Genomic DNA, 22,560 nt, shown 5'->3' on the forward strand with positions numbered 1-22,560 from the left:
GAATTCTTTCCTAGGCAAAGCCAAGAACTCACCTGGGCTAAGTCCCAATTTTGGGGCCCCTCTGTCCTGCACAAAAGGGCCACATGTTTCAAACATTTCAAAAACACATTATTCTTCAGTTGTTTTAGAATGTGTGGTGTGGTCAAAGACAGGCAGTTATCAGAAAATATTTTCTCATTTTATATCTCTTTTATTTCCCTGGTTCATAATGTAAAAGTGAATACTTAAAAAAAGATACGTAGCCCTGTAACTCCTACCCCTTACCAAAAATAGCCCAGCCTCACATAAGTTTAGTGTCAGCAGATGACTATGCTCCTGCTATCTCCTGCTGCATGACCAAGGGTCCTCTTGCTCACTCTTGGCTGCTGCCGGATAATGTCAGTCTCTGCCTTCAGCTCCATGTGCTTTTGTGGGGACCACTGACATTTCAAACACCCGTCTCATTCAAGATTTCCTTGAGGCACACACAGGTTGCATTGTGATGCCAACCACATCCTTTATGTTGTAACACTGGTGTTTCTCGAAGGCAGCAAATAGCAAGGATAAAACGTGGTCTTTATCAGCCTGCACCCTCTTTCCCTCTTCTTTCTTTTTCTTCTCATATGCAATATTACACTGATGATTAGCAACAGGTTTATAACCAGCTGTGACAACCTTGTCCGGTTTCTGCAGGGTTTTGGCAGGTTTGGCAGATTCCTGTGTTTGCATTCTCTTCAGTCTCATGTAGTTTTAATTTGCAGCTGGTTGGCATTCCTCTCACTGTACCACTGTTCCTTCCAGTGAGAGCTTACTCGGTGCACGCTTAGTCAACACTGTGAGCATCTGCCCTCTGAGCCCTTGCACAAGAAACTGAGGCACCCTAGGTGTGCTGATGGGTGGGTTGTCCACCAATATTGTGAATGTTTTTAAGTTCCTCATTCAAAGTAAATGACAGCTCAGACTTTCTCTGATTCTTGGCAGTCTGCAGCTTCCCTACTTCACTACTTCCAGAAGCTTCAGACCACTCATGACAGGTATTTGGGAACCTCCACTAGCCACAACAGCTGCTCTGTTGGATTGCTTCCAAGTCGAGTTGCATGCTCTGGGTCTTGGGTCTGCTGCCTCCAGGCACCATGTACACCTGAGCTGAAGGTGCAAAGGGTAGGTGAGTTAGGGTTGAAGCAGAAGCAAGACACCAAAACCCGCGTGTTTCAGCTGCCATGAAAGTGTAAACCACATGCTGACTTCAGAAATGTTAAAAACTAGAGTCTTAGAATCTAGAGGATACTGTACAACAATCGTCAGTTAATTCATAAGGAAAAATTGGAAGCATCTTTAAAAATCGGGAGGTTAATAAAGAAGTATGGTACCTCTTTAAAAGAAGTACTGCACCAATTAAAAAGAATACAGTAGCTCGTATCTAATAACATGAAAAAATTTCTAAGACATAGACATCTCTCTCAGGCTTTTACTCAGTTGTGCCTTTTGCAGAGAGGCCGCCCTGGACTGCCCTGTTTCTCCCTGTCCTTCCCCGGCGTTTTCTCCTGAGTACCAGTCAACATGAATATACTAGATACTCCACTGGGTGACTCACGCCTGTAACCCCAGGCTTTGGAAGGCCAAGGAGGGAGATTACTGGAGCCCAGGAGTTCAAGACTGCAGTAAGCCACGATTGTGCCACTGCACTCCAGACTGGGTGACAGAGCTAGACCTGTCTAAAATATAATAAAATAATTTTAAATCTAGATACATATTTACACACACACACTAGATACTATTCATATTTATTTATTCATTTATTATTCTGTCTTTCCCACTAGTAAGCAGCATGAGGGTAGTTTGTGGCAGTTATTCACAAGGTGTTTAATAATTTTGTTTTTTGAATGCGCAAAAGGTCTTATTTGATGGATTTGTTTGCTGTGAATAAATCTAGCAGAGGAGGTGCTCCTGGAGAAGGAGGATTGGGCCAGGGGCCTCCTGGGCCCTGCCAGGTCCTCCTGGTACTTCGTCTGACCTGGTACCCCACTCCTCTGGTGCTCCGTGCCCTAATGACATGGTAAGAATGGCCTCCACACAAAGTGAGAGGTGCAGAGGTCCTGGGGATAGGGATTCATCCTCCCACCCGGCCTGGGCCGCCACCAGACCGGGCATAAGGGGAGGTGGACAGTCGCCGAGCCCTGGGTGCCTTGGCTTGACCCCAACTGTGGGCAGGGACCCAGGAGAAGGTGAGAAATTTCTTTCTTTTTTATTCTTTTTTTTTTTTTTAAGAGACATGATCTCGCTTTGTTGCCCAGGCTGGCCTTGAACTCCTGGGCTCAAGTAATCCTCCTGCCTCGACCTCTGGAATGGCTACAGTCAAGGGCTACAGTCAAGGGCCACCATGCTCAGCAGAAATTGTATGCTAAAATAACCTCTCAGGTGCCGTCTCGTGCCTCAGGCAAAGTGAGCAAACCCTGTGCAGGGTGAGCATAATCTGACGAAATGAAGCTGGGGAGGGGAGACTCTCCATCAGGCTGGGGCTCCCCAGAGCAGGCCGGAAGCTGTGTGGGATGAGGTCTCCCAGTGAGAGAGGTCACCGCCAAGCAAAGGTCCTCCTTGCAAGTCAGAACAGACCTTGTGCTGCCACCTTGAGGGACTGTCTTGATTGGGTTACATTAGAGCCATCCTGAGAATTCAGACACCTTGATTTGATTATGGGGGTTTCCCAAACCTCTTAAAGCAGGGGTCCCCAACCCCCGGGCAGCAGACCGGTACTGAACCATGGCCTGTTAGGAAACGGCCCCACAGCAGGAGGTGAGCTGTGGACGAGCATTACTGCCGGAGCTCCACCTCCTGTCAGATTACCCGTGGTATTAGATTCTCATAGGAGTAGAAACCCTATTGTGAACTGCACGTGGGAGGGATCTAGTTGCTTGTTCCTTATGAGAATCTAAAGCCTGATGATCTGAGGTGGAACAGTTTCATCCCAAAACTATCCCTCCTGCCATCCGTGGAAAAATTGTCTTCCACGAAACTGATCCCTGGTGCCAAAAAGGTTGGGGACCACTGTCTTAAAGCATGCCCATAAGGGTGGGTAGCTCACTGGACATCTACTGAACAATTTTTCCTTAATTGTCCAGTTTAGAGTGGGTTACGGTGAAAAACAGCTTGCTTCAGCTCCCCTAGAAAAACTTCAAGATGCAGGTTAGGCCCTCTGAAGAGTTACTAGACATGTTAATCCTAGCACCTGGCCAACCACTTCCACCATGCACTGAAATTGCTGTCACCATCCTGTGGCTAAATGCAAAAAAAAAAAAAAGTCCTTATTTTACTTCTCTGATTGCTCCTTTTATCATCGTTTTCTTTCTTTCTTTTTATACAGGTGGGGACTTGCTCTGTCACCTGGGCTGGAGTGCAGTGCCATGATCATAGCTCAGTGCAGCCTCAAACTCCTGGGCTCAAACAATCCTCCCGCCTCAGCTTCCCTCGTCACTGGGATTACAGGAGACTCCACCAAGCCCCAATAATTTTAAAAAATGTTTTTATTTTTAGACACGGGGATCTCACCATGTTGCCCAGGCTGGCCTTGAACTCCTGGCTTCAAGTGATCCTCCAGCCTCAGCATCCCAAGTAGCTGGGATGACAGGTATGAGCCACCATGCCCACCTTGCTCCCTTTTTTCCCCCAATTTTTATTTTATTGTGGCAAATAAAACATAAAGCTGGAGAGGCATGGTGGCTCACGCCTGCGATTCCAGAATTTTGGGAGGCCAAATCAGGCGAATCGCTTGAGCTCAGGAGTTCGAGGCCAGTTGGGAGGCCAAGTCAGGTGGATCTCTTGAGCCCAGGAGTTCGAGGCCAGCCTAGGTAGCATGGTGAAACTCTTGTCTCTACAAAAGATACAAAATTGGCTGGATGTGGGGGCTCACACCTGTAATCCTAGCACTTTGGGAGGCTGAGGCAGGCGGATCACTTGAGGCCAGGAATTCGAGACTAACTTGGCCAACATGGCAAAACCCTCTCTCTACTAAAAAAACAAAAAAATTAGCTGGGTGTGGTGGCTTACGCCTGTAATCCCAGCTACTCGAGAGGCTGAGGTGGAAGAATTGCTTGAGTCCTGGAGGTGGAGATTGCAGTGAGCCGATATCATGCCACTGCACACCAGCCTGGGTGATAGAGCAAGATCCTGTCTCAAAAAAAAAAAAAAAAAAAATTAGCCAGGCATGGTGGCACACACCTATAGTCCCAGCTGCCCAGGAGGCTGAGGTGGGAGATCTCTTGAGCCTGGGAAGTTGAGGCTACTCTCGTGAGCTGTGATCACGCCACTGCACTCCAGCCTGGGCAACAGAGTGAGATCCTGTCTCAGAAAAAAAAAAAAAAAAAAAAAAGCTTACAGTCTTCATTATTTTTAACTGTCCAGTTCCGTGCTATTAAATACATTCGCAATGTGCAACCATCACTATCATTCATCTCTTCATCTGGTAAAACCGAGGCTCTCTACAGTACCCCATTATCCCTGGTTTCAGTCTCTGAGGTTTCAGTTACTCCCATCAACTGGGGTCTTAAAATAGGTGAGTACAGTACAATAAGATTTTTTGAAGAGAGAGAGACCACAATCACACAACTTTTATTACAATATATTATTATGATTGTTCTATTTTATTACTAATTAGTTATTAATCTCTTATGATGACTAATTTATATTCTTTTTTTTCTTCAACTTTTATTTTAAGTTCAGGGATACATGTACAGCATGTGCAGGTTTGTTATATAGGTAAACGTGTGCCATGGTGGTTTCCTGCACAGATCATCTCATCACCTACGTATTAAGCTTAGCATCCATTAGCTTTTCTTCCTGATGCTCTCTCTCCCCCAAATCCCCACCAACACTGCCCAACAGGCTCCAGTGTGCGTTGTTCCCTTCCCTGTGTCCATGTGTTCTCATCATTCAGCTCCCACTTGTAAATGAGAACATTCGGTATTTGGTTTTTTGTTCCTGAGTTAGTTTGCTGAAGATAATGGCTCCCAACTCCATCCATGTCCCTGCAAAGGACCATGATCTCGTTCCTTTTTATGGCTGCATAGTATTTTATGGTGTATATGTAACACATTTTCTTTATCCAGTCTATCATTGATGGGCATTTTGGTTGATTCCATGTCTTCACTATTGTGAATAGTGCTGCAGTGAACATATATGTGCATGTACCTTTATAATAGAATGATTTATGTTCCTTCGAGTATATACTCAGTAATGGGATTGCTGGGTCAAATGGTATTTCTGCCTCTAGGTCTTTGAGGAATCATCACACTGTATTCCACAATGATTGAACTAATTTACACTCCCACCAACAGTGTAAAAATGTTCCTTTTTCTTTACAACCTTGCCAGCATCTGTTGTTTTTTTACTTTTTAATAAACTCCATTCTGACTGGCATGAGACGGTATCTCATTGTGGTTTTGATTTGCATTTCTCTAATGATCAGTGATGTTGAGCTTTTTTTCATATGTTTGTTGGCCACATGTACGTCTTCTTTTGAGAAGTATCTGTTTATGTCCTTTGCCAACTCTTTAATGGGGTGTTGTTCGTTTTTTTCTTGTAAATTTGTTTAAGTTCCTTGTAGACTCCAGATATTAGACCTTTGATAGATGTATAGATTGCAAAAATTTTTTCACATTCTGTAGGTTGTCTGTTCCCTCTGATGATAATTTCTTTGCTGTGCAGAAGCTCTTCTGTTTAATTAGATTCCATTTGTCAATTTTTGCTTTTGTTGCCATTGCTTTTAGTGTTTTCATCATGAAATCTTTGCTCATGCCTATGTCCTGAATGATATTGCCTAGATTTTCTTCTAGGGTTTTTATAGTTTTGGGTTTTACATTTAAGTCTTTAATCCATCTTGAGTTAATTTTTGTATGTGGTGTAAAAAAGGGGTCCAGTTTCAATTTTCTGCATATGACTAGCCAGCACTCCCAGCATCATTTATTAAATAGAGAGTACTGTGACTAATTTATAAATTAAACTTTATCAACGGTATATATATCAAAGGTATATATAGGAAAAACACAGTGTATATAAAGTTTGGTACTATCTGAGGTTTCAGACATCCACTAGGGGTCTTGGAACATATCCCCTGAGGATAAGTGGGGTTTACTATATCCTTAAACAATAACTCCTCATTCCTCCTTTATCCAGCCCCTGGCAACCACCATTCTACTTTCTGTCTCTATGATTCTGACTACTATAAGTACCTCATAGAAGTGGAATCATTCAGTATTTCTCTTTTTTTTTTTTTTTTGAGATGGAGTTTCACTCTTGTCCCCCAGGCTGGAGTGCAATGGCACGAGCTCGGCTCACTGCAACCTCTACCTCCTGGGTTCAAGCAATTCTCCTGCCTCAGCCTCCTGAGTAGCTGGCACATTAAAATTTATGTACATTGAATTTATGTGCTTTAGGCCACCGTGCCCAGCCAATTTTTATATTTTTAGTAGAGATGGGGTTTTGCCTTGTTGGCCAGGCTGGTCTCGAACTCCTGACCTCAGGTGATCTGCCTGCCTCGGCCTCCCAAAGTGCTGGGATTACAAGCATGAGCCACCACGCCCGGTCAGTACTTTTCTTTTTGTGACTGGCTTATTTAACTTAACGGGATGTCCTCAATGTTCATCCATGTTGTAGCATGTGTCAGAATTTCCTTCCTTTTTAAGGCTGAATAATATTCCATTGTGTGTCTATACCATATTTTGCTTATCCATTCATCCCTCAGTGGACACTTGGGTTGCTTCCATGTTTTAGCTATTCTGAATAATGCTGCTATGAACATGGGTGTCCAAATATCTCTTTCAGTCCCTGCTTTTAATTCTTTTGAATATATATGCAGAAGTGAAATTGCTGGGTTAGAACATAATTCTATTTTTAATTTTTTGAGGAACTGCCACACTGTTTTCCACAGCCGCTGTACCTCTTTACATTCCCACTAAGAGCACACAAGGGTTCCAGTTTCTCTCCATCCTGGACAATACTTGTTACTTTATGTTTTTTTGATAGTAGCCATCTTAATGGGTATGCAGTGGTATCTCATTGTAGCTTTGATTTGAATTACCCTAACAATTAGTGATGTTGAGCATCTTTTCATATGCTTATTGGCTATTTGTCTACTTCTCTTCTTTGGAGAAATATCTATTCAAGTCTTTTGCCCATTTTTTAAAACTGGGTTGTTCGTTTTTTGTTGAGTTTTAGGAGTTCTCTCTCTATATATCTTCTGCATATTAATCCCTTGTCAGATATATGATTTGCAAATATCTTCTCCCATTCTGTGGGCCGCCTTTTTACTGTGTTTATATAGTCCTTTAATGCACATAATTTTTAAATTTTCATGAACTGCAATTTGTCTATTTTTTCTTTTGTTGCCTGCCAAATCCAAGTCATGAAGCTTTTGCTCTATTTTTTCTTCTAAGAGTTTTACAGTTTTTAGGTCTTATATTTAGGTCTTTGATCCATTTTGAGTTACTTTTTATGTATAGTTTTAGATATGGGTTTTACTTCATTTTTTTTTGCATTTGGATATCCAGTTTCCCCAACACCACTTATTATATTTAAAAGACTGTCCTTTCACCATTGAATACTCTTGTCACCCTTATCAGAATTATTTTACTGTATATATGAGAGCTTGTTTCTGAGCTATTTCATTTCAGCTGAAAACACTCTCTTTCCTTGGGTTCCATGACATTACATGCTCCTGGATTTCCTCCTCCTTTCTGGGCTGCTCATTTCCAGTCTTCTTTGTGGGCTCCTCTTAATCTGTCTTGGGCCATGCACCCTGTTTCTTGGTTTTAGGTGCCATCCCTTCTTTTTTTTTTTTTTTTTGAGACCGAGTCTCACTCTGTTGCCCAGGCTGGAGTGCAGTGGTGTGATCTCAGCTCACTGCAACCTCTGCCTCCTGGGTTGAAGCAATTCTCCTGCCCCCACCTCCCCAGTAGTTGGGATTATAGGTGTGTGCCACCACACCCAGCTAATTTTTGTTTTGTTTGGTTTGGTTTTGTTTTGTTTGGTTTTTTGAGTCAGAGTCTTGCTCTGTCGCCAGGCTGGAGTGCAATGGTGCGACCTCCGCTCACTGCAACCTCCGCCTTCCTGGTTCAAGCAATTCTCCTGCCTCAGCCTCCCGAGTAGCTGGGACTACAGGCACGCACGACCACACCCAGCTAATGTTTGTATTTTTTTAGTAGAGACAGGGTTTCACCATGTTGGCCAGGATGGTCTCAATCTCTTGACCTCATGATCCTCCCGCTTCGGCCTCACAAAGTGCTGGGATTACAGGTGTGAGCCACCGTGCCCAGCCTCAGGTGTTTCTTTATGGCAATGTGAGAACAGACTAATACAGCGGAACTTCTTGCTTCCTCCTTCATTATATTCCACGCGCTGGAGTTATAGTGATATTTCTAAAAGATGCTTCTAAGCATGTCTTTCTCCTTCTCAAAAGCTTTCATAAAATAAAGTCCATTCTCTCAATGTTAGTTTACAAAACCCTTCCAAAAGAAACTGCTGTTCATCTCTTGTCAGAAATTCCCTAACGCTCCACTGGAATAAACTTTGTGTTTTTGTTTTTTTTTTTTCCGAGATGGAGTCTCGCTCTATTGCCCAGGCTGAAGTGCAGCGGTGCGATCTCGGCTGATTGCAACCTTTGCCTCCCGGGTTCAAGTGATTCTCCTGCCTCAGTTTACAAGCGTGCACCAACACACCCAGCTAATTTTTGTATTTTTAGTAGAGATGCGTTTTCACCATGTTGGTCAGGCTGGTCTCAAACTCCTACCCTCAGGTGATCTGCCCGCCTCGGCCTCCCAAAGTGCTGGGATTACAGGCACGAGCCACCACACCTGGCCTGAACTTTGAACTCAGCCTCCATTGCTCTCTGCTGCCACCAGGTCTCCTTCAGTGTTATTTCTTTTCCCTGGACATTGCCACCACAACCACCCCACCCCTTTAGCTTAGCTAACTCCCATTCTTCTTCTAGGTGTCACCTGAGAAGTCTCTTTCTCTCCCCTGAACCACCGACTCTGGCATGGCCACCCTCCTGTGTTCCTCCATGGCACCGTGTGCTTCCCCACTCACAGTGTTTCTAAGGACCTTGTGACAATGGACCGTGTCCGTCTTGCTCCCCACTGAAGCTCCAGCACATAGGAGGGGTACAATAAAAATGTGTAGCATGAGTGAAGGATTGACAAAATCTTAAGCTGGCATCGCCTTTTTGGGATACTATTTGGCTATATGAAATGAGAGCCTGTCCTTTATAGATGTCATCTCTGGACAGTCAGAAGAAACAGAGAGGACTTGAAGTTCACGCTGTGGAGTTAGACTGCCTGAGCTCAAACCCTGGCTCTGCCACTTACTGGTTGTGTGGCCTTAGTGGGTCACTTTACTTCTCTATGCCTCCTCTTCCTCCTCAGTGAAATGGGGGATAATAATAGTACCTACTTTTAAGTTGTTATGAGGATTAAGTGAGTTAGTAAAGTGGCTGACATGTAGTGTGGGCTCAGTAAATGTAATCCATTCTTATCCACTAGAATGTAAGTTCCATAATGGTAACCAGGGTTTGTGTCTTGTTTCGTTTGCTGCTGTATAAAAACAGGGCATAGAACCAAATAGGTGCTTAAACAATATTTATTAAATAGGGCCAGGCGCGGTGGCTCACACCTGTAATCCTAGCACTTTGGGAGGCTGAGGCGGGCAGATCACAAGGTCAGGAGATTGAGACCATCCTGGATAACACGATGAAATCCCGTCTCTACTACTAACACAAAAATTAGCTGGGCGTGGTGGCGGGCGCCTGTAATCCCAGCTACTCGGGAGGCTGAGGCAGGAGAATCACTTGGACTCGGGAGGTGGAGGTTGCAGTGAACTGAGATCACACCACTGCACTCCAGCCTGGGCAACAAAGCAAGACTATGTCTCAAAAAAGAAAAACTTAAATAAACGAGTAAATAGGCAAAATTCATATAAAATCATTTTTTTAGATGGGGTCTCTCTGTTGCCCAGGTTGGAGTGCAGTGGTCTAATCACAGCTCATTGCAGCCTCAAACTCCGGGGCTCAAGTGATCCTCCCACCTCAGCCTCCCAAATAGCTGGGATTACAGGTGTGCACCACCATGCCTGGCAAAGTTTTCAATTTTTCTGTAGAGACAGGGTCTTGCTATGGTGCCCAGGCTCGTCTCAAACTCCCAGATCCTTGTCTTGGCCTCCCAAAGTACTGGGATTATAGGCATGCACCACTCTGTGCTTGTAATTTTGCTCTTTAAGACTATTGAAATAGTATGACATTACATATTGTCACACTATTTCATTATATACATGGTTAATTTTTTAAAATAATATTTACATAGGGCTTATAGTATGCTAAGTACTGCGCTAAGTGCTTTACATAAATTAACTCCTATAATTTTTATAATAATGCAATTAGATAAGTACTGTTCCCATTTTTGGATGAGCTAACTGAGACACAAGAGTTTGCATTTACTCAAAGTCACTTACCTAGTGAATAAAGGAGCCGGGATTCAAACCCAAATAGTCTGTTTCAGCATGCTGGTTCTTGACCTCTATCTGTATAGCCTTAATGAGCTAAGGGCAAAAATATTCGGGGAACTAGGAGACAACTTTTTTTTAATCTAGTACTTGGAAAGTTTTCCAAAGGAAAGCACAAAAGTCATGAAGCAAAACTTGGGCAAACTTAATTACATAAAAAATGAAAATGTCTGCATTACTGAATACTCTGTAAACCAAGCTAAAAGACAAATGACAGCCTGCAATTATTTTCAATTGCAACATCTAAAACAGAGAAGGAATCAATATCTAGATGATATATAAAGATTGTGACAGTAACAAAAGAAGAAAATTACATTTTAAATGAGCAAAGATAACGAATAGGAAATTCAGAGACTACTTGATCAATAAGCATGAAAAGGTGTCTAGGGAAATTAAATCAAAACAAGAAAAGCAAATTAAAATGAAATTTTTTTAACCCATCAAATTAGTGAAATTGACAAAGTTTGTTACTATTCAATGTCTATGTGATGGTTAGTTTTTTTTGTTGTTTGTTCTTTTTTTTTTTTTTTTTTTTTTTTTTTTGAGATAGAGTCTTACTCTGTTGCCCAGGCTGGAGTGCAGTGGTGCGAACTCAGCTCACTGCAAGCTCTGCCTCCTGGGTTCACGCCATTCTCCTGCCTCAGCCTCCTGAGTAGCTGGGACTACAGGTGCCTGCCCCTACACCCGGCTAATTTTTTGTATTTTTAGTAGAGACAGGGTTTCACCGTGTTAGCCAGGATGGTCTCGATCTTCTGACCTTGTGATCTGCCTGCCTTGACCTGGGATTACAGGCGTGAGCCATCGTGCCCGGCCATGATGGTTAGTTTTATGTGTCAACTTGACTGGGTCAAGGGGTGCCCAGATAGTTGGTCCAACATTATTCATAGTGTTTCTGTGAGGGTATTTTTCGATGAGATTAACATTTAAGTTGGTACACTTGGAATAAAGCAGATTGCCTTTCATAATGTGGGTGGGCCTCATTCAATTAGTTGAAGGCCTGAACAGAACAAAAGATGCCAACTGCACCCTATCCCCATGGAGCAGAAGAGAATTCTCCAGCAGAGTGATGAGTGACCATGAACTTGAACTGGAATATCGGCTCTTCTGTTTCTCCAGACTGGTGGCTCACCCTGCAGATCTGGGACTTGCCAGCCTCCATAATCACATGAGCCAAGCAATTATATATGTATAATAAGTTCCTGATAGTAATTTCTTATTTATCAACAGAGTTATATCAAGATACATAGATACAATCTCCTATTGGTTATGTTTCTCTGCAGAACCCTGAATAATATAGTCTATTAATAATTCAGTCCTGGCTGGGCATGGTGGCTCACGCCTGTAATCCCAGCACTTTGGGAGGCCGAGGCAGGCAGATCACCTGAGGTCAGGAGTTCGAGACCAGCCTGGCCTACATGGTGAAACCCCATCTCTACTAAAACTACAACAATTAGCTGGGCGTGGTGGCATGTGCCTGTAATCTTAGCTACCCAGGATGGTGAGGCAGGAGAATCGCTGGAACCCAGGAGGCAGAGGCTGCAGTGAGCCGAGAACACACCACTGCATTCCAGCCTAGGAGACAGAGCAAGACTCCATCTCAAAAAAAAAAAAAAAAAAAAAAAAAAAAAATCAGTCCTGGAAGAAGTGCCAAATGTTAAAAATAAAAATAATTCAGGAAAGCGGGCACAGCCACACATATATACAGCAGAATAATACTTGGCTGGGCACGGTGACTCATGCCTCTAATCCCAGCACTTTGGGAGGCCAAGGCGGACGGATGGCTTGAGCCCAGGAGTTCAAGACCAGCTTGGGCAATATGGTGAAACCCTGTCTTTACAAAAAATACAAAAATTAGCTGGGTGTGGTGGTGCACACCTGTAATCCCAGCTACTCAGGAGGCTGAGGTTGGAGGATGACTTGAGCATGGGAGGTCAAGGCTGCAGTGAGCCATCATCATACCACTAGACTCCAGCCTGGGCAACAGAGCCAGACTTGTCTCAAAAACAAACACTAAAAAGCATAGTAATACTCAGTATAGGATACACTGATAAAGTAGAGGCTGTGGTCCAAGGTGAGAGGCTTAGTAATGCTATAGCCTTTCTCTTCTGCCCTAAATCATACAAATGAAAGAAAAAATATGTTTATAAACCCTTTATTTTGGTGGGAACAAAGAATGGCTTTCCTCAGGCCAGAAACTAGTAGGACACCCTGAAAGCCAGAACTAGATTGGCTAACAGGATATGTCAGTCCAAAGATGAGTATACAAGAATCCCAAACATTTGAGGAGTTCTAAAATCATGAAAAAGAGAGGCACAATGGAGACAGAAGAAGCCCCAACAAAACAGAGTAAATAGAGCAATCAGAATAGGACTATAGGATGGTATGGTGGCTCACACCTGTCATCTCAGCATGAGGCAGGAGGATCACTTGAGCCCAGGAGTTTGAGACCAGCCTGGGCAACACAGTGAGGCCCTATCTCTATAAAATAAAATAAAATAAAATTTAAAAAGAAGAAGACTTTAGAAACATTAGCATCCCCAGAGATGAAAGACGATATTGCATCATAGACAATAGTTAGCTAAAGAGCTTGGAAGTTAAAAACAGTCTGAAATAGGCCAGGCACCGTGGCTTAAGCCTGTAATCCCAGCATTTTGGGAGGCCAGGGCGGATGAATCACTTGAGATCAGGAGTTTGAGACCAGTTACAATGGTGAAACCTCATCTCTACTAAAAATACAAAAAATTAGCTGGGCATGGTAGCAGGCACCTGTAATCCCAGCTACTTGAGAGGCTGAGGCAGGAGAATCACTTGAACCTGGGAGGCAGAAGTTTCAGTGAGTCGAGATCGCGCCACTGCACTCCAGCATGGGTGACAGAGTGAGACTCCATCTCAAAAACAAACACACACACACACACACACACACACACACACACACAAACTTAGTCTGAAATAAAATCTTCAAGAACCACATAGCAGCAGAGAGGCAGGTTAAGTGTACAACTTGGTGGTCCTCCCCTTCTAGGAGGTCACCAGGTAGATGCTGAACTTAGTGTGGACACCCAGTTAGCACAGTGCACTACAGCCTAGAACTCCTGGGCTCAAGCAACCCTCCCACCTCAGCCTCCTGAGTAGCTGGAACCACAGGCATGTGCCACAGTGCCTGGCCTTTGTTTCTGAATTTATAAGATGGAGAAAGTTGTACTCAAGGATATCAAAGGTCTCTTCCAACTAAAAATGTCCTAGAATCTTAGACTCTCTTTTAGTGGACTCTGAGTCATAAGGCAATCAAGCAAAGAAAGAAAGCAGAACACTGAACCCATCAAACAACCCTCACTTCTCAATGGAGAGCTACGCAAAGGAAATTGCCCTGCCTCATTCCTGCCCAAGTTCTACTTCATCCCACTTCTTCCCCTTCCGTGGCTTGGCCTTCAGCTCCCTCCCTTCCCTCTGCCCTGTCTCTTGTCCCTATGACTTCTCTGTCTCTTCCCCCTGTGCCTGCCTCAGTCACCAGTCACTCAAACCCTCTTCCTACTTCATGTCCAGACCATCTTGTTCCTCTGGCCAGTTTCTCTTCTTCCCAACTCCCTGCCTGGACCACCTCCACCCCGGCTTATACCCCTGCTCCTCCCACCACCTGCCTTCCTCCACTCCCTCTCTCTTCCATTTGCTGCCTCTTCCAACTTGCTCCCCTCTTCTCCCACACCCCTCCCTTTACCCCTGCCCCACTTCCTCACCCTACTTCTTCCACCTGCTGCATGAGCCTTGGGCCCAGATAGGCCTCTTCTGCTCCTGCTAGGACATCTGCCCCAACAAGCCCTCACCAGGCCTGGTGATTCCCACACTCCACTGGGCATGCCCTCTGTCCCTACCAGTGAGAACCTGGCTTGTCCCAGAGCTCCTGGGAATGTGATACCCAGCATCCTGGTGACCCAGTGAACATGGAAGACACTGGATGATGACCAGCAGACATACAGCGTGGAGGGGCATCTTCCTCAGATAAAGGCCTCTTTTCCAAGACTGGGTTCTCAGCCACCACCATGTCTTGGTTATCTTGCTGCCTGAGGTTAGCGTGTGCCTCCATTCCCATTCCTTACATCAAATTTAAGTGGAGATCTTATTATTTGTACATGACAGATACTATAGGGATTAAAGTGCAGGAAAAATTGCAAGTAGACTCTGAATTCTGATTATTCCTATTCGTTTCAACAGTTAGGTCATGGGCACTCTGATAACACACACAGACACAGACCATCTTGCACAAATGGTTCACTGTTGCTGTCAGTGAAACAACCAGGTTTCCATCCAAGTCCTGGGGCTTGCTTCACAGAAAGCCAATGACTAAGACAACAAGTACTGACAGGGAAGAAGGCTTTTAGGCTTTAACTGGGTGCTGCAGCCAAGAAGATGGGAGCTCAATCTCCAATCTATCTCCTTAACTGGTTAAAATTAGGGGTTTATATAGCAGGGAAGAAATACAACAATTTGTTGGAAAACAGGAACTAGGGAGGGGTAAGGAAACAAAACCAGGGGTCTGGCATCTCATTATTTGGATGAGGCAATCTGGTGAGTTTCAGTTCTTTGATACTTTCCAAGAGGCCTCAGGGTCCTTTCTGGAGGAAGGAACTCAGATAAAAGGAATATAAGTTTCAAGCTTTCAGACCAGAAGGGTCAATTTCTATGTTTATCCAAGGTCGATTTCAATTTTTTTTTTTTTTGAGGCAGAGTCTTGCTGTGTTGCCCAGGCTGGAGTGCAGTGGCACGATCTTGGCTCACTGCAACCTCCGCCTCCTGGGTTCAAGCGATTCTCCTGCCTTGGCATCCCAAGTAGCTGGGACTACAGGTGCACACCACCACGCCCAGCTAATTTTTTGTATTTTTGGTAGAGGTGGGGTTTCACCTTGTTAGCCAGGATGGCCTCGATCTCCTAACCTCGTGATCCGCCCACCTTGGCCTCCCGAAGTGCTGGGATTACAAGCATGAGCCACTGCGCCTGGCCCAATTTCTATGTTTATCTCAAAGAATTGTCTATAGGACTGTGGGATCGGTTTCATTACCATTACCCAATACAGAGGGACCAGCCTGGAAATGTCAGGCAGCTGTAGCCTGATGGTGGTGTGAATGGAATACTCCTAAGAAGTTGTGTTTTCCCTGTCCTTTTATATAATCCAGACAACTCGATTTGGATCGCTTGATTTACTTCTATGTCATATTTATCCAATAAAGTCCATTTGGCCATAGAACACATTTAATCTTGGGATGAGGAAACATTCTTATTTTAACCCCTTAGGAGCAGAGGACTGAGCTTATCATTTCCCCCAGTTCACAACCTACTTTTATCATTGGCCTGGGCAAGGCCTCTGTTTTGTTTTATTTATTTACTCACTTTCATACCCATTTCTCACTTCTACCACCTTCTTTTAAAAAAACTCTCAAAATATTTTGATATGAATTTGTATCTATTCTTGTAAAATATGTGGTGTCATTTTGTGGCCATATCTTTAGTTTTTGCACATATTATGCTCTAGATTTCATTTTTTCTATCTTGTCACCCAGCACTCTATTTTTAAGATCTGTCGATGTGTGCATATGTCATCTGTGCTTCTAACTTCTGCACTGCATCCTTAGGGTGTCTCCTCCACATTGTCCTCATTCATTTCCCCAGTGGTGGACACAACCTAGGTTGCCTTCAACTCTGACCATGATGGACAGTTCTGAACTGTATACATGCCCACTTCTGATACATGTGAGAGTTCTCTGGGGTAGGTACCCACCACTGGGAGCACTGGATTGGAGGGCTGAGTTAGAGAAGAAGGCAGGGGCCTACCCTTAGAAAGACCATCACTTGACTTTCTTGAGTAATATCCAGGTACTGACAGGGACAGGAAGCAGAGAAATTCTAGGCAGAAAAGGGTCCCCAGAGAAACCCTACCCTCAAACTGAAAAGCCTAAACCACAGCCAAAAGTGAGAACTTATATCCCAGTTTTCCTGCTCAAATGTTGCCTTTTCCTAAACCACCATGGCCCTGCCCTGCTCCATCCTGTGCATATAAAAACCCCAGACTCAGCCAGTATATGGGACTATGGCTGGATGTTGGAGAGAAGCAGCTTGACTTCAGAGAGACAGCTTGATGGTATAATTTCAGAGAAGAATCTGGCTGGAGACAGCTGGACTCCAGGGGAAGATTACCAATCCTCCATCCCCTTTTCAGCTTCCCTTCCCACTGAGAGCCACTTTCATTGGCAATAAAATCCCCCACATTTACCGTCCTTCAATTCCTTCGTGAGACCTCATTTTTCCTGGATACTGGACAAGAGCTTGGGAGCCACGAATGCAGATACAAAAGGCTGCCACACTGGCCCTTTGCTCTCCCTGGCGGAGGGCAGCCGCCCCATGTGACAAGGCAAAGGGCCCACTGAGCTGTTAACACTTAAGCCATCCACAGACAGCAGAGCTAAAAGAGCACTACAACACGCACCCTGGGGCTTCAGGGGTCACAGGCAGCCCCACCTGGAAGCTGCCATGGGGCCTGCATGGAATTTGCTCCTGCCGGTGCCAGAGTGGCCGGCCAGTTTCAGCCACTCTAGTCCACTCATGCACTCCAGTTCCACCTGGTTCACTTGCACGCTCCCTCCTGTGAGGAGTTGAGAGTGGCAGGCTGAGTAAACAAGGCATCCCTGTCACGAGTCCCATGAAGGGGTCAGGGAAATATCCTGCTTCTGTACCATCTCATTCATATCCCAGGAATAATCCACGAAAATCTATTCTGACCACCAAGGCTTTCCCACTTTGAGAATCCACCTCCCGCAGGAAGAGGGAAGGTTTCCAGTGTTTCCATCCAAGCTATGATCAAAAGACCCCTGCCCTGGAATTTATAAGGTAATGGGGTTTGGGAGGTGATGGTGGTCTAGATCCTACACAACTGTAGACATCTGATTTTCAGATGATATATGTTGTAGGTGATTAGTGACTGGGCTGGTGGCACGGATCGTAAGAAGAATTTACCAAGATAGTTGTAGGTAAAAAAGGCAGATTTATTAGAGAAAGTATGAAAATATGTTGCAAGGGTACAATGGGCAGGCCAGCCAGAAAGGAGCTGACTGCAAAGAGACAAAGGCTTACTGGGGATTTTATAGGATGGTGCTGTGTGCTGAAGAGGGCTTTGTACAGTATTGATAATGCCCTGGTTACAGAGAGCTCACGTGCAGGTGTCTGGTGATAAGTTGGGCGCAGGAAGATTGTGAGTTATTTGCGCTGGGCCATGAAGAAAGGCAGATGTATAGCTTATCTGCTTTTTCTTTTAACCTTCCCTCTGTCCTGCCAGCCTGATTCATTTTCCCTAATTAGGAATCCACAATATATTTTTAAATTTTTTTGTAGAGATAGGATCTCACTGTGTCACCCAGGTTCATCTTGAACTCCTATCCTCAAGCAATCCTCCTGCCTCAGCCTCCCAAATTGCTGGGATTACAGATGTGAGCCACCATGCCCAGTCTCAGATGATATTTTAAAAACAGACATAACTGAGGTATAATTTACATGAAATAGAATGCACCCATTTAAAGGGTACAGTTTGATGTATTCTGATAAATGTATACACCTATGGAGCCACCATTCAGATACAGAACATTTTCATCATCCCCCCAAACTCCTTTGTGATCCTTTGTAGTCAATATCTCCACCCACCCCAAATCCTCAGGCAACACTAACTGACATTTTGTCCCTATAGGTTAGTCTTGTGTGTTCTAGAATGTCATTTAACAGTATTTACCTTTTGTGCTTGATATCTTTCATTCAGTATTGTTTTTGCAATACATTTATTTTGTTGCCTGCAGTGCAGAGGATTGGTTCTCGGAAGCCACAGATAACAAAATGCTTGGATGCTCAAGTCCTTTAAGTAAAATGTCATAGTATTACATGTAACCTACACACATCCTCCTGTATACTTTAAATCATCACTTGATTATTTATAATACCTAATATAATGTAAATTCTATGTAAATAGTTGTTATACTGTATTGTTTTTATTTGTATTATTTTTGTCTTGTTTTGTTTTGTTTTGTTTTTGAGACTGAGTCTCCTCTGTCACCCAGGCTGGAGTGCAGTGGTGCAATCTCGGCTCACTGCAACCTTTGCCTCCCAGGTTCAAGAGATTCTCCTGCCTCAGTCTCCCGATTCCAGGGTGGACCACCATGCCCAGCTAATTTTTGTATTTTTAGTAGAGACAGGGTTTTGCCATATTGGCCAGGCTGGTCTCGAACTCCTGACCTCAAGTGATCTGCCCACCTCGGCCTCCCAAAGTGCTGGGATTACAGGCATGAGCCAACCCACCTAGACTTATTTGTATTATATTTATTGTATGTTTATTTTTTAAAACATTTTTTATCTGTGGTTGATTGAATCTGCGGATGCAGAACCTGTGGGTATGGAGGACTAACTGTATTATCAGAATTCGTTCCCCTTAGTGCTGAGTATTATCGCATTATTGTAATACACCACAGATTGTTTTTTCACTGCACCTATTGCTAGATGTGACAGTTTCAATGTGTGGCCTTTCAACTCCAAATCTACCCTTCATTGCCTGTTCTGCATAGTGGCATAGCCCCATTAACCATGTCTCCTTTGCAGTGAGAACAGTGTTGGGTTTTGTCAGTAGATGGCGCTGGTAGGACACTGCTGGAGGGAGAAACTTCTGGAGCCAGTGTGCTTCACTGAGAAAGAGAAGTTTTGCTTCTCTTTCTCCACTAGTGCGCTGCTGCGAGGGGCAAATGCATGGGGACATCCATTAGGGTTCTGCCCTGGCTGTGCGTCCCCAGCACGTTCATGCCTCTGAGCTCACAGCCCCAGCCGTAGCCCTGTGCCCACCTCCCACAGCCCTCCCCACATGGACTCTACCCATCTCAGGCTTTGTACGGAGGTGAGCGGCCCTGGCCCTCTGACTCCCTGTGTGCCAGCTGCCAGCATGGCCCGCCAGCTCCCTGCAGGGTTTCCATGCCTCCCAGGCCTTCGATGACTCTGCCTGCGAGTAGGTTCCTGATTCTGACTCTCCCTGTGCATACGCCTGCCAGCCTTGCCTGCCTGTACCTGGGGGTGTTGCCTTGCTTACCTGAGACTCTAGACCAGGTTTGGGCTGGGAAACCCAGCACACTTCTTCACATCACATTCATTACACGTTTTCCAACAAGGTTCGAATCCCAGCTTTAAGGAGAGGGCCTTCTTCCAATGTGTTCCTTTCTTGGGCACTCTCCTTCAGCCTTAGGATAGTCTTTAGAGTTCCGTTTACACCTTCAGAATTACTCCTCTGCTAGAATTAATCTTTTTTTAAAAAAATAAATTTTAATATATATGTAAGGTACACAACATGATGTTATATAAGATGCATATATATAGTAACATGGTTACTATAGTGGAACAAATTAACATATCCATCATCTCACATAGTTACTCATTTTCTCCCCTGTGGCAAGAACAGCTATAATCTACTCATTTAGCAAAAATCCTGAATAAAATACACTATTATTAACTAGAGTCCTTATGTTGTACCTTAGGTCTTTCCATTTGTTCATCCTACATATCTGCTGCTTTGTATCCTTCGACCTACATTCCCCATTTCCTTCCCCACCACACCGACCCTGGTAACCACCGTTTTATTCTCTATCTCTGTATATTTGACTTTTTTTTAGATCCCACATATAAGTAAGATCATATATTTTTCTTTCCGTGTCTGGCTTATTTAGCATAATGTCCTTCAACTTCTTTCACGTTGTGGCAAATAGCAGGATCTCCTCCTTTTTAAAGGCGAATAATATTCCATTATTCCATTATATATAACATATATATAACTGTTATATATATATATAACTGGTTTATATATATCAGTTATATATATATATATGTTTATCCATTCATCATTGTTTCTATATCTTACCTGTAAGATATAGAACATTATCTTATAGGTAAAATAATGTGAATAATGCTGAAATAAACATGGGAGTTCAGATACCTTTATGAGGTGGTGATTTTATTTCCTTTGGGTTTATATGCAGAAGAGGGATTGCTGGGTCATATGGTTTTTTGTTTGTTTGTTTGTTTTGTTTTGTTTTGTTTTGTTTTTGAGATGGAGTCTCGCTCTGTCGCCCAGGCTGGAGTGCAGTGGCGCAATCTCAGCTCACTGCAAGCTCTACCTCCTGGGTTCACGCCATTGTCCTGCCTCAGCCTCCCGAGTAGCTGGGACTACAGGCGCCCGCCACCACGCCTGGCTAATTTTTTGTGTTTTTAATAGAGACGGGGTTTCACCGTATTAGCCAGGATGGTCTCGATCTCCTGACCTCGTGATCCGCCTGCCTTGGCCTCCCAAAGTGCTGGGATTACAGGCGTGAGCCACCGCACCCGGCCCATATGGTATATTTTAATTGGGATCATATGGTTATATTTTAACTTCTTTAGGAACTTCCTTACTGTTTTCCATAATGGCTGTACCAATTTACATTCAACCGTGTATAACCGTTCCCTTTTCTCCACACCCTTGCCAACGCTTGTTATCTCTTATGTTTCTGATAACAGCTATCCTAACACATGTGAGGTGCTATCTCATAATGTTTCTGATTTGTATTTCCTTGATGATTAGTGATGTTGAGCACCTGTTCATGCACTTGGTAGCCATTATTATGTCATCTTTGGAGAAATGGCTATTCAGATTTTTTGCCCCCCCCCCTTTTTTTTTTTTGAGATGGAGTCTTGCTGTCACCCAGGCTGGAGTGCAGTGGCGCAATCTTGGCTCACTGCAGCCTCCACCTCCCAGGTTCAAGTGATCCTTCTGCCTCAGCCTCCCAAGTAGCTGGGATTACAGGAACGCATCACCATGCCTGGCTAATTTTTGTATTTTTAGTAGAGACGGGGTTTCACCATGTTGGCCAGGCTGGTATTGAACTCCTGACCTCAGGTGATCCACCCGTCTTGGCCTCCCAAAATGCTGAGATTACAGGTGTGAGCCACCTCGCCCGGCCTGGTTGTATGAGTTATTTATAAAGCTTGGATATTAACCCTTTATATGATATGTGGTTTCCAAATATTTTTCTCAATCTGTAGGTTGTCATTTCCTTTTGTTGATTGTTTACTTTGCTGTGCAGAAGGCTTTCAGTTTTAAATAGTCCCATTTATTTGTTTTTGCTTTTGTAGCCTGAGCTTTTGGTGTGACATCCAAGAAATCACTGCCAAGACTAATGTCAAGGAGACTTTCTCTTATGTTTTCTTCTAGGAGTTTTACGGTTTCAGATCTTACATTTAGGGCTTTTACTCATTTTGAGTTGAATTTTTTGCCTGGTGTAAGATAAAGGTCCAGTTTCATTCTATTGCTTGTGAAAATCCTGTTAATAATTTTTATATTAAAATTTTCTTCAAATTACTGTGTGGTTTCTATATTCTGATTGAACCCTAACAGATGTATTAGACATTTGTATTGTTTCCAATTTGGGGCTATTGTGAATGAAGGGTTATATGTTTTCTTGCTATTGAGTTGTATGAGTTCTTTATAAATCTTGACTATATGATTTATAAAGAAGCTGCCATAAACATTCTTGTCTTTGTGCAGAAATATGTTTTCATTTTTCTAATAAACACCTAGGAGTGGAACTTCTGGGTCATGTGACAAGTACATGTTTACCATTATAAGAAATTGTCAATCCTTTCCCAAAATTGTTGCACAATTTTATATTTCCATCAAAAATGCTGCTCCATATACTTGCCAACACTTAATATTGCCAGTCATTAATTTTAGGCATTCTGTGGATATGCAGTTTCCTGATGGCTAATGATGATGAGTATCCTTTCATGTGCTTATGTATATCTCCTCTTGTGATTGTCTGTTCAAATCTTTTTACTTCAGTTGTCTTGTTATTGTCATCTTGTTATGAGTCTTAAATGGTATATTTCAAAAAGGGAATAAAATTAATATTTATGATATCCAATATATCTTTTTAATTTTATTTTAGGGTCAGTGCTTTTTATATTCTCAGAAATTATTGTCTGTCATAAAGTTG

General features: G+C 43.5%; 1 pseudogene, besides 1 other annotated feature; it reads right to left on the minus strand.

Annotated features, from left to right (window-relative positions):
- GTF2F2P2 (general transcription factor IIF subunit 2 pseudogene 2) lies at positions 355 to 1,045 on the minus strand (annotated as a pseudogene).
- Positions 19,058 to 19,117: a silencer, noted in NCBI's record as "silent region_730". NCBI's record gives its function as "represses an Ori minimal core promoter by ATAC-STARR-seq in GM12878 lymphoblastoid cells {active_cell/tissue: GM12878}" and the evidence as "EXISTENCE:reporter gene assay evidence [ECO:0000049][PMID:35858748]".

The sequence above is a fragment of the Homo sapiens genome, chromosome 1 (assembly GCF_000001405.40).
Source record: "Homo sapiens chromosome 1, GRCh38.p14 Primary Assembly".
In the NCBI taxonomy this organism is placed as follows: Eukaryota; Metazoa; Chordata; class Mammalia; order Primates; family Hominidae; genus Homo; species Homo sapiens.